The following is a 12,763-nucleotide window of genomic DNA, read 5'->3' as shown; positions in this document are numbered from 1 at the left end:
TGGGTGCAGTTCTCAGATTACTCTTGTTTTTCTCTCCAGACATTGAAGAGTGGAAGTGTTCAGGAACAGTGGCTCACAGACTTACATTACTGCTTCAACGTGTATATCACTGGGCATCCCCAAGGGCCCAGTGCACTGGCTACAGTGTATTGAAGAGGCCATAGTACCTCCTGTTTGAAGTTGTTTATTCACATCTATCTTATTTGAAGAAAAAGACTGATGTAATAGATCTTTGTCATTAAAGCTGAACTTTTAAAGAAGTTTACGAACCTTCTTTCTTTGCACTGATATATGAAAATAATGTTTGGGCGTTCCTATTGATGTGTAGGCTGGCTTCCCGGACTAGCACACGATACATGGTCATAGGCGGTTGTGCATTGTGCATTTCATAGGAGCTAAATATTTACAAAATAGAGAGTGATACTGTGGTACCTTCTGTTATATACCAAGAAACTGGCTAAATCTTTGTAATTCCATCCAGGCAGACCTCCTTCTTTGTGTTTTTGTGATCACAAAAACGATGAATGTAATAATTAGTAAACTAAAAACCAAGGTAATTAAGTGAACACTTCATTGCCTATCTGTCTATCTCTTACCGTTAGCACAGAAGTGGCACTGATCTGAAGAAAATGAAAGCAACCCCCAAAATACCTGTGAGTAAAATATATCACTGTTTATGCCTACTGTCAATATTCTCACAGCAGCTTTCCCCTTAAACAATGTGAAAGAGCCCATCATCACTGGATTTTATTTAAACCAGGTGTTCTTAGAATGCTAGGATGTGTGCCGTTTCATTCTTCCCTGCCAACAGAAATGGCATTTTAAGAAGATTGCTCACTTCTGCAAGTTGGTCAGAAAATACAAGTAGAACGTTGACGCCTGAGTTAGCACCTTGCTGCATGAACAGTCTGGTCTGTAAACCCTACCTGACAGAATCCTTGATACTGTAATACGGCTGTTGGTATTCAGCACTGAGAAAGCCATTCAGTGAAGACGTGGCGGCAACTTGTGGCCTTGAGAGGCTAACGTAGGAACTGTAAAATGTAAGGAATCACCAGAATGTATCTATGGTCTTTTGGACAATTTCTAAATGAAAACAGTGGGCAATGATTCTGATCTAAAATTTAAACCTGATTAATTTTGAAGTAATAGTGGGACGTGATATGTGTGTGTGTGTGTGTGTGTGTGTGTGTGTGTGTGTGTGATAAGTTTGTTGCATTAGATGCCAGGAAAGTAGTGAGAGGAAGGCTGCTATGGGACAGGCTTCCTATCTCATTTAGGTTCATCTCTTGAAACAAGAAGCCAGTACCAGCTAGCTGGCAGAAATCCCAACCCAGCAGCCGTAGTTTTCCTTAGATTTTGCTGTTAATTATGAATTCTCATTTCCAACTGTACAGACTGAGGTGAAAGCAGACACTCAGGCACTTTGCACAGACATAGTCTATGCAGGTCCTTTCAGTGCAGGCTGTGTTGATTGACAAAACAATGCTGTGTAAGAGCAGAAAGGAAACATTCTGACATTTTCTTTCAGTTAACACATTTTTAGGTGAATCAGCCTTCAGGTACGGATATTAAAGTTTTCCCAAGGTGTAAAAGATTATCAGCAGAAAATCTGAACTCTGCACTAGCTATGCCAGCTCCCCCGAACACAGTCTTCCTCCATAGGCAGTCAAGGTTTTGTTTTGTTTTTTGGCTGAGTAGCTGATTGCAGGTTATAAGAAAAGTTCTTTGATCTTCCACTGTTCTCAAGGAGATGTATACACTGTAGGTTGCTCACTGTTAAAAACAAATACCAGATAGATATTAAGGTTATTAATTTTAAGGCTGAAGGGAATAGTTCATTGGTGTTGAGGAAGAAGGATTTCGGTTTAGGCTATCCCTGGGATGATGGGCCAGTTTACTGTAGAGGCAGGATGACTTAATATAATAGCTTTATATTTCCTGCAGTCTCAAGATATGGGACATCTCTTCAAGGGAGACTTGATTAAGAGAGAGCAGGCACTTGGGGAGCTGGTACCAGAACCTCGGTCTTCAGTCTGCCTGAAATAACAAATAGATTCTCTCTCTGGGTCTCTCACATAACACATTACATAAACAGGTAACACATCTTTTAACTCTCCTATTACACTTTGAATAGTTGTTCTAGAAAATAGGTTTGTTAGAAAATATTCAGATCCTCATGAATGATAAGCTGATGGGAATATCAAAATGGATTTTTGAGGCCTTTTTATGACTTTGAATTAACAAATGTATAGGATGCCACAGTCAGAAAACATTAGTGATATACTTTGACAAATGATACTGAGGCCCCATATGAGAAACCTTGCTGAAGACATTGCTATATTTTGCTTCTAACTTTTTATGGAGCATATAAGCAAATACATTAAAGGTTTAGTAGTTTTTAAAAGTAACAAACATATGTCTCAATTTTTCTCTCTTGGTTTTATAACTTCCACAAAATTATTTTAATGTGAACTATTGTTTTTGGCTGTCTTCACTGTATCTTGAATGGAGTTGTCATCTGTGTACCCCTCTGCAGGTGAGCAAGAATAAACTGGATTTGTACAGGGGGTACCAATACTAATAATCACAGTTATTCCATTCACTGGAATGGAACTTTAAAGGGAGTTCTTTTCTTTTATTGTTAAAGAGATAGGCCCAGGTGTGTGTGTGTGTGTGTGTGTGTGTGTGTGTGTGTGTGTGTGTGTCAATAAAAGGCTCTGCTGAGATTCTTGGTGGGTGGTTTGCAAGGCTGTGTGTGTGTGTGTGTGTGTGTGTGTGTGTGTGTTGTGTGTCAATAAAAGGCTCTGCTGAGATTCTTGGTGGGTGGTTTGCAAGGCTGGGTGTAGAAGACTGACATGAGCAGGGATTGATTTGCTGCCTCCCAAATACATGTGGAGAAACAGCCCAAGGAGGCTGGCATTTTGCTATATCCACCTTTCTGCTTCTTCCTTTTTAAGTGGTAAAGGCACTACTAAAACCTCGGGGGTGGGGGGTTCTCCAAGTTGGAGGGTGAGAGCAATAATATTCATTAACTGGTTAATGCTTAATGTGGGTGGGCTTGAGCCTAACAAAACTGTGTGTTCTCCTAAATTTGGGGTTAGGAAAAGATCATTTTATCCTTGTCTGATTTTAAACCAGTCAAAAATATGTGTAGGACAAGTAAGTTGCTTGTTCATATGAAGTCCTAAGAAATCATTAAGTATTGATTTGAATTTATTTACTCTGTCCCTTCTGAGTCTCTTAACTAAAAAACTTATATGCTGCTAAACACCATTTTAAAAGATTTCTGGTAGTCTTGGATTTGTTTTTCTCTTAAGACTGAAAAATGATCCAGTTATCTAATTTATGCTAGTATTTGATTGTCTAAATGCCACTTCTCTGGTAGTGATATCTGACAATTCTGTTTTTGAAATGATTCTTTAATTTGCTCAGGTATAATGAAAGGGGTTTTTTTGTTTGTTTGTTTTTAAACAGACTGTAGGCCTTGATTGCTTTGAAAGTTTCTAACTACCCCACCCACCACTCCCTGATCAGCCTGTCTGTATTACATGAGTTGTCCAACACTTATTAAAGATTTGGCAGTAATTACTCTGTCCCCCACCTCCAGGTTTTTGCCCCCCATCAAAAAACTAAATGAATATTAAAGTTCATGCTGACAGTCATTGTTCACCTTCCCAGCTGCACTCTGTTCCTCCAGGATGACTGTGTGGATCGAGGAGGCAGGGGGGAGCGTGTTGCCATAGCCACCTATGAGAAACACTGGACCTGGCATTAGCTGCTGACAGCAATGAACTTATCACCCATATTTAATGCTGGTGTGAATGAGGGGGCCCTAAGTAAAACACTCTTGTCTTGGTGGCTGAAAAGAAAGTTCCCTGAGCTTCTCCTGTATGAGGGAAAGCACGCACAGCTGAGCCTGGGCTGTACATGCTCTCAGTGTTCTCTTCATGGTGTTCTTCCCATCTTGGAGAAGGAAATAGGGGATCATAGTGTGACACCAAAATGGAACAAGGATTCCCAAGGTATTCCTTTGAAGAGTGACAGTATTTTCATTTATTTCCTTTGTGTGAAAAAATGTGTAAAAGTGATCAATAATAGCTACCATTTATTTCTGTTGGAGTTAATGTTAACAATAATAGCTTTTAGTTGTGAAAATAATTTGCCTCTTAGGGAGACAGATGTTGGCTACAGTAATAATCCCATGAAATCAAATGACCATTGGAAAACCCTGGCCATATCTGTTCTAATGTCTTCTGTCTTTGGGGATGAAACAAAGGAAAATGCTTCCCCATGTTCTTCCCCACCATCTGCTTTGCAGTGGCTGCCTTACCTGAGTTGAGACGCAGCACAGAAGAGGCTTTTACAGATCTTGTAGGATGATGTATTTTCCCTTCGTGAGAACAACCTGAAATGAACCAACAACTGTTACTTTTCTTTGGCCAGGGATACGTTTGGCCTGACCAACTTCTGAATTCCTTATTGTGGTAAAGGCTTGAGCTTGCAGGTGTGTGTCAAGATAAGTTAGGTATGGTGTGGAAACATGTAGGCCCAGGGTAAAGTCCTGAGATTTTGCTAAATGAATGTTAAAGTTCATGCTGTAGGAGATCTTTCTAAAGGTGCTCTTGCTTATCTTTTTTTCTCTTGAGCCAGCAAGGCTTCTTGAACTCTACTGGGTCTATTTGGATGGGCTCTTTGCAGAGCTGAAAATGTTTCAATTTACAGCAGTTAATCTGCTGAACAAATATTTACTATAGTGCATGGGTGTTGAGCATTCTCATAGTGGGCAACCCTATAACATCTCAGCATAGGAAAAGTCAAAGTGATACAGGCAGAGTCTAGCTAAGTCGTGAATGCTCCAAATGGGTAATGCAAGGAGGAGACTCAAGCAGGGGTCTGGAGAGGTTTAAACAGTAAAGCTTGAGGGCACTCTGGGCTGAGATGCTAGAATGCCTCACGAAACCAAACAATTATGACCCAGTATCGCTGGGAGGCAGGAATGAAATGGTGCTTGAGAAATATTAGGTTGGTGCAAAATTAATTGCAGTTTTGACCATTTTTAATAATACAATTAATTTTGCACCAACCTAATTTATCTGAATGGAAGTTTACCCAATGTAATTAAATTCTACTTCAGATTCTGATGTGGTACTCTGGGGGTACTTGTGAACTACAAAGTAGGCAGAAGGACAGTTACCATAGATTTGCTTAAGCACTGAGTGCTTGGTGGACTTTGTGCCTGAGGTGCCCTTGGATGGACTCTTGGGGGCCTTGCTTACTGCAGTGGTTTGGGGGAATTTTAGTTCCAGTTCCTTCCTCCAAACCTGGAGGAGCAATGCTGTAGACTCTTGCCTCCATCTGTCCACATCTCCAGCTCCAAGCTGCTTCATATGCCGAAGGTGGGACAGGTGCTTCCTGAGCTGGTAGCTGGTTGGGTCAGAGGAGAGGAGAGGCTTTAAGATCACAGTACTGAGAAAACTAAATTTCCTTAAGGTTTCTAGAAGCTATAGGAGTAGTATTTGCTGAATTCCTGGTAGGTTCATTCAAGCTCCCATTCCTAATTTTGGCGGCAGCATGTTGAATGTGGAATTCTTTTTCCATTATCAAACACCTCCTGAACTAGGATTCAATCATGATTCCTTGCCTTCAAGGAGCTCACAGACTAGTGGAACAGGCTGCTGTGTAAAGAGGTACGTGTGGCATGAGAGTACTGTGCAAGAGCAAGGAGCTGGTTGTGCAAACAGATGCAGGACTGACTGATGGTTTGGTAAGGTTTCACAAGGTTAATATTTGTGCTGGATTTTAAAAGATGAATAGGAGCTTACCAGGCAGAGAAGGGCATTCTACGTAGCAGAACTGGCATCAGCAGAGATAGATAGAGGCATTTGTGCCAGAAAGTCAGTAACACAATGTGGAAGCACTGTGTCTTTGGTGACGAAAGGGGGCTTTAGAGTGGTAAAGGTATGAGCTGCATCTTACTAAGATAAGTCTGTTGGAGGTGGGTTTAGAGTGGGTGAGGAATGGGGATGATGGCTATATTTACATCTAGGATTTATTTGATGTTTTCAGTCCCACATGCACTCCCAAACTTACTGAGCACAACAACTATTTTGAGGCCTCCAAAGGAAAGCTGCAGCAATGTTTATTATCTGTATCTGTCTTTATTCCTAGTGAGCCTATAGGTAGCTGCAGAGAGCAACAGGCTTCATGTCTGATTTTACAGTGATCCCATTTGGGCTGCACCAAATGGGAAGTAATCTTTTTCCTAAGTCTGCTAAAAGCTCCTTGCAGCGCTTGGTGCAGCCCCTCCCTCCTTCCCCAAAGGCTGATTTCAGTCAGCCTACACTACTCTTCCTTCTGTCCTGGAGGGTAACACCATGGCATCCCTCTACTAGAATACGTACCACATTTCCAAAAAGCCAAGTCTAGAGAAAAGTATGGCACTACCGCGCTATAATTCAGTTTCTCCTGTTTGAAATGCTGTCTTCCATACCTTCTGCTCTTGTGGGCACAGAACTTGGGGGGAAGCCCAGGTAGTGGCTGAAGCTGTTAATGGTGTCAGCCCTCAGTGGGCCCAGCAGCACCTTTCCTGCTCAGCTTGTCCAGGATCCTGTTTCAATCTTTAAAATAGTCATCTTACTTGGTTATTAAACTGACAATTTTAAGATCAAGTTTCATTTTCTCAGGACCCAAGGTTCATTTTGCCCACTTCTTCCCTGCCTGTTTTCCAGCTCCTTTTCTCCATCCTCCACCTGTCCCCTATAACCACAGCCTGCACTGAACACTTAGTGTCCAGCCCTGACCCCTGCCCCAGCCCTCACTGCTTAGGTTTGCTATCAGATACACTTGCAGGACAGCGCTTCAGGCTCCTGTATTTACAATAGAAAATGTAGTTAAAATATAATAGAATCAATAAAAGTGTGTTTACTGTCACCAGACTTGGCTTTCTGCAATGTGCAACAATCCCAGAAGTCCTTTGGGCCTCAGAATTGCACAATGGCACATCCAGAGGGGGCCTGTGTAGTTACCTACGCAGGTGGGCATGTTAGACCATAAGCCCACTGTTCTTGGGGGAATGACTGAAGGCTCATTTGCTACTCTGGTCACTTACTGACAGGACCTGTCAGCTTCTGACTCTTCAAAGGAGTCAGACAGTCGGAGAAGGAGACATTTCAGGTAGGGAGCAGCTGTGGGGTCTGGCGTGGTAAACCTTGCTGGCTTGTTTAGATCCTAGATTTTAGCCAGAATACTTAAAAAGTTCATCTGGATGGTAGCCAGTGCATGTCCCACAGAGTGCAATGGCCATTTCCACCTGTGGCTTTCGAGGCCGACTGTCTTGGCTCAAAGCCAGCCCTGGCACTTGCTCTGTAATGTTGGTGAGTTGATGAACCTCTCTGTGCTTCAGTTTCCTCATCTGTGTAACGGGGATAAGAACAATACCTACCTTGCAGGGTTATCAGTGACGATTACATGCACAGGTAAAACTAGTTTGAACAGTGGCACAAGTGTCCAATAAATAATACTAGTATGTTAACAATTGGTAGTAGTAACATCACCCTTCTCCTGGTTACCCTGATGTGTGTGACACCAACCAGGCAGCCTTCTCCAGCCTATTTTCAGGCAAAGTGCATGGGGCCCACCTCCACCTCCCTTAGCTTGACCACAGCAAAAACTAACTTCACTAATAATGTAAGGGAAAGGCCCTTGGATTTGAGTCAGCCAGAGGTTCAAGTGCTGGATCTGCACCAAAAGGACAAGTCAGTTTTTCCTCTCGTCTGAAAAATGGGGATACTGCTCCCTGTCATGATGGCTTCCTGGTGTGGTTGGGAGTTCACATGGGGTCAGGCATGAGAGGACTTTGTTAATGGCCAAGAGCTGAAACAGACATAGGGAGAACACATTGCAAAGCCTGTGCAAGCACAAACCAGATCACCCGGCTCTGGGTTAGGCAGTCTCTGGTATGATATGAACGGAGGCCTCTCCCTGGACCTCCTGGGAATCTATCTAGTTTTCTCCCTGCCAATGTTAAGGAGAGAACGTCTTCCTTTTTCTCCTGACGGGAACCTCGATATCTCATACACCTGTGCCGCATTATTTCCTTGCCTTGTCTCCCTCCCCATCCGTCTTCCTCTCCCCAGTGATGGCGGCGACATAACTTCCACCTATTTCTTTTCTTGAGACAGGGTCTCACTCTGTCGCCCAGGCTGGAGTTCTGTGGCATGGTGATGGCTCACTGTGGCCTTGACCTCCTGGGCTCAAGCGATCCTCCTGCCTCAGCCTCACAAATAGCTAGGACTACAGGCATGTGCCACCATGCGTAGGTAATTGTTGTACTTTTTGTAGAGACGGAGTTTGGCCGTGTTTCCTGGGGTGGTCTCGTCTCATAACCCTGGGTTCAAGTGATCCTCCCTCCTCGGCCTCCCAAAGTGCTGGGGTTACAGGTGTAAGCCACTCTGCCCGGCCAACTCCCACCTATTGGTGATGGGTCCAGCTTCTCTCTGGACATTCATCACTGTAAGGCCTAATTTAGATTTAGGCTCTAGTGAGGCTTTCAGGATGAAAGAGATTATGAGACGTGAACATTTGTAGCAATAAGACCCCTCAAGTCCTCCCATAATCATCCCCTAGCGGCATTTGTCTCTACTATATTGGGAGTCTGTTTCAGGCTTTTAGGACAGCCTTCACCCCCACTCCCAGTGCCTACTATGTATTTTGAGCTTGGTAGATGCTCAGACAGGTTTACATAATACAGTTTAGTCACTCAATCTGTTATATCCAGACCCTGGTTTAGGTGTTTGGAGTATGACTAGTTCCTGGGTAGTAAAGACATAAGAATAAAAATAAAGTATCTCCTATGTGTAGTAATTTAGAATTAATGAAGCGTGCATTATCTCATTCCAGCAACCTGTCATATTAACAGGACATGTGCAACAATTATTAAATCCTGTTTTACAGATGAAGAAGCAGAGGGTCAGGGGGGCCATGTGATTTGCCCAAAGTCACATAACCTGTTAGAGCTTACCTGAACCTCACATTTCATGGTTACAAACCCAGGGCTTTTTCCTTTACCCCATGCTGTCCTGAGCACTTTCCCATCTTTCTAGGCAAAAACATCTTCCAAATGGTTTATACAATGTAAATTACTAGGATCTGGTGTGAATTTCATGGGTAGGCTCTATAAAATTGGCCTTACCATGCCACCACATGGAACTCACTGGGAAAACATCAAAGAGCACAGATGTCATGTTGAGAATATCAGTAACAAAGAACCACAGATGCGGCAGCACCCCATTTTCCTACCTTCGCCAGGCGCGCTGGATGACTGCTGCTGCCTTGTTCTTTTTGCGAAACAGCTCCTTCCTCCTTCGTTCTCTCTGAATTATCTGCAGTCGGAGCTCTACGGGGAGAAGGTCAATATTCACACTCTGCCCAGAGAGGGGACCAGGTGCTGGATCAGTCTCCTTAGATACCTGAAAGTCCTCGGACAGGGTAGATGTCTCCAGCCTCCTAGCTCCTGACCTCAACTCCTCTGTGCTCTGTGGCAAATGTGAATAGAGCCCTCCTGTGAGCTTGGCTTGTGTCACTTTGTTTCTTGGTGTACGATGGTGGGGAGGATTCTGCCCAGCATGGACCGCCTCCCCCCGGGCACTGCCAGGGCGGCTAGAACCAGCCGGAGAGCACCTTCCTCCTCTGAGCTCTTGAGTGCGCCTTTTCTGGGGGGCACATTTGGCCTTGGGTTCTGTGTCATGCCGCCTGCTGGGCTTCCAGTGGCTATCGTGCGGTGGAAGGCTTGCAGCTGCCCGCCTGGAGTCCTCTCCTTTCTCATCAGGCCCAGCCACCCTGATACAGGAGGGCTGCTTCACGAAGCCTTTCCCCTTTGCACACCGCTCATCGCCAGCTGTCTCACCTCTGGACTTCTCAACAGAGGGAACTCCTGGATGCCTGCTTCCATCACTGCCTTCATTGGGTCTGAAGTGGACACAAGCAGATTGGCCTTTAGAATGTTCTCTGGCTGTTTCTTGAGGAAACAAAGAAAAAATATTGTCCAAAACTTGCAGAGTAGGATAATTTTCCTAATATGTTCACATAAAATATTCAGACTTAGCCTATATCATCACCATAATAGTGGCAGTTACAGACTAGGAAAAAAACGGTTTAACTTCTATTTCCAGCAATATGGTAGGTTAGATAACCTGAAGCCCTTCTCGCCTTAACGAAAATATAGTGGATATCCTTTGGAAAGCACTGTCATGCCTTTAAGAAAATAAAGGAACTCTGGAGGCCAAAAACAAAGAGAAAATTGAAAATCAAAGCAATTAAGTATGTGAGCTGATCCAGTGACTGTCTAGGCAGGTAATGGTGGTGGAGTGGGCAACAGATGGTCTTATTAAATATCTGGCTGTGCTTTAACATCTACATAAGAACAGAAAATGAGTCCTTGCAGGAAGAAAGTTAACTGGAACCAAGACTCTACATGAAGCCAGCACTCTTGAAGGGATATACCTTTTGGAAATAATCCAGATTTTAAAATCTGCTCTCCAGCACTTAGAGATGACAAGGAAGTTTGTTTCAGCCCAGGTTCTGGATGGGGTAAGGAGTCTCCCATAAGAATTTAAAACCAAAGTCGTCTTCCTTACATGGGCTTGGTATTCATTTATTCTCAATCCATAGGAGATATTACTATAAAAACTGGTCTTAGGATGGAGATATCCCAGGATGCCTCACAGAAGCAAACACAATATTGCTTTAGTGTGACATGCCCTCAACTCAGGCTGCACAACGGAGTCCTCTGAAAATGACTTCACAATCCAAAATCACAAAATGCATGAGGAAACAATGTACCATAAGCAACAGTTAACACAATAGCAAGATCAGATCTCTCAAAACGTTAGCACACACACGTTGATTAAACACACAAAAGAAGTTTAAAATACGAGAAAAGGATAGATTTGAAAAACAAATACAACATCTAAACTGAAAAATATGCCAGGCACGGTGGCTCATGCCTGTAATCCCAGCACTTTGGGAGGCCGAGGCAGGAATCATGAGGTCAGGAGTTTGAGACCAGCCTGACCACCATGGTGAAATCTCGTCTCTACTAAAAATACGAAAATTAGCTGGGCATGGTGGCGCACGCGTGTAGTCCCAGCTACTTGGGAGGCTGAGGCAGGAGAATCGCTTGAACTCGGGAGGCAGAGGTTGCAGTGAGCTGAGACTGCACCACTGCACTCCAGCCTGGGTGACAGCGAGACTCCGTCTGAAAAAAAAAAAATTCTTAATAAAACAGGCACATAGATTATCCAGATAATGTGTTTTCAGAAACAGACTTTAAAATAACTGTTCTGGCTGGGTGCAGTGGGCCCAGCACCTTGGGAGGCTGAGGCAAGAGGATTGCTTGAGCCAAGTCTGAGACAAGCCGGGACAACATAGTGAGACCCCATTTCTAAAAATAAAACAAAAAAACAATTATCCAGACATGGTAGTGCATGCCTGTAGTCCCAGCTACTCAGAAGGCTGAGGTGAAAGGTCGCTTGAGGCTGGGAGGTTGAGGGTGCAGTGAGCTGTTTGTGCCACTGCACTCCAGCCTGAGCAACAGAGTGAGACTATGTCTCAATAATGTAAAATAAAATACTCTTAAGTGCAAAAGAGCTATCTAAACTATACTACTCTTCATGTAAGAAAGAAAGGGATGGGCTGGGTGTGATGGCTCACGCCTGTAATCCCAGCACTTTGGGAGGCCGAGGTGGGCAGATCACCTGAGGTCGGGAGTTCGAGACCAGCCTGACCGATGTGGAGAAACCCTGTCTCTACTAAAAATACAAAAAAATTAGCTGGACATGGTGGTGCATGCCTGTAATCCCAGCTACTCCGGAGGCTGAGGCAGGAGAATCACTTGAACCTGGGAGGCAGAGGTTGCGGTGAGCCAAGATTGCGCCACTGCACTCCAGCCTAGGCGACAAGAGCGAAACTCTGTCTCAAAGAAAGAAAGAAAGGGATATAAGAAAATATACCTATATCTGCTCATTTGTGAAAAAGAAATATAGAAAACATAAAGCAAAAACTAAAGAAATTGATTACCTGCAGGAGTTGAGTGGGAAAGAGGTGGAAAGAAAAGAGAAATGGGAGCTGGATAGTAGAGATGAAGAGGGAGTGAGAGACACTTCTCTGGCTCCACCTTTTTGTATAGCTCTGACTCTTAGAGCTGTTACAATGTTTCACATATATGCAACCCCCACCCCACCGGGCCAAAAAAAAAACTAAAACTACAAGATACCACTACACACCTATTAGAATGGCAAAAATCCAAAACAGTGACCAAATGCTGGTGGGGATGTGGAGCAATAAGAACTTTCATTCATTGCTGGTAGGAATGCAAAATGGTACATCCACTTTGGAAGACAGTTTGGCAGTTTCTTACAAAACTAAACATATTCTTACATAAGATCCAGCAATCACACTCCTTTATATTTACTCAAATAAGTTGAAAACTTATGTCCATACAAGCTGCACAGGGATGTTATAGTAGCTTTATTCATAACGGCCAAAACATGGAAGCAACCAAGATGTTTCTTCAGTAGGTGAATGGATAAACTGGGTGACATGCAGTTTCTGCCTTCTCTCAAGAGTACTGCTCTGAGAACAATATATGTAAGGAAGATAGTCTAACCTACTGGAGAACAAAAGGCCATATAAAGGAGAATAGAGACAGCCAACAGCCACCACCAATTGCCAGATATATGAAGGCGGCCATCTTGGCCACATC

General features: G+C 43.6%; 2 protein-coding genes across 7 annotated transcripts in view; one reads left to right on the top strand and one right to left on the bottom strand.

The window, feature by feature from the left end:
• TEX10 (testis expressed 10) overlaps nt 1-260 on the top strand; it is a 50,859-nt gene extending 50,599 nt beyond the window's left edge. For all 3 annotated transcript variants that reach the window (XM_011518798.3, NM_017746.4, NM_001161584.2), the window contains one exon: nt 40-260. In XM_011518798.3, the coding sequence (XP_011517100.1) occupies nt 40-153 (114 nt within the window). In that variant the 3' untranslated portion in view covers nt 154-260. The remainder of the gene's footprint in view (nt 1-39) is intronic.
• INVS (inversin) overlaps nt 169-12,763 on the bottom strand; it is a 202,933-nt gene continuing 190,338 nt past the window's right edge. For 3 of the 4 annotated variants that reach the window (NM_001318381.2, NM_001318382.2, NM_014425.5), the window contains 4 exons: nt 9,301-10,018; nt 5,198-5,427; nt 4,334-4,408; nt 169-1,776 (listed from right to left, as the gene is read on the bottom strand). In NM_001318381.2, coding sequence (NP_001305310.1) covers nt 1,670-1,776; nt 4,334-4,408; nt 5,198-5,427; nt 9,301-10,018 — 1,130 coding nt within the window. In that variant the 3' untranslated portion in view covers nt 169-1,669. The remainder of the gene's footprint in view (nt 1,777-4,333; nt 4,409-5,197; nt 5,428-9,300; nt 10,019-12,763) is intronic. The other variant, NR_134606.2, reaches the window with a different exon arrangement.

This window comes from Homo sapiens, chromosome 9 (genome assembly GCF_000001405.40).
Source record: "Homo sapiens chromosome 9, GRCh38.p14 Primary Assembly".
NCBI lineage: Eukaryota > Metazoa > Chordata > Mammalia > Primates > Hominidae > Homo > Homo sapiens.
Note: the sequence above shows the minus strand (reverse complement) of the source record. Positions and strands in the feature narration are given on the sequence as shown.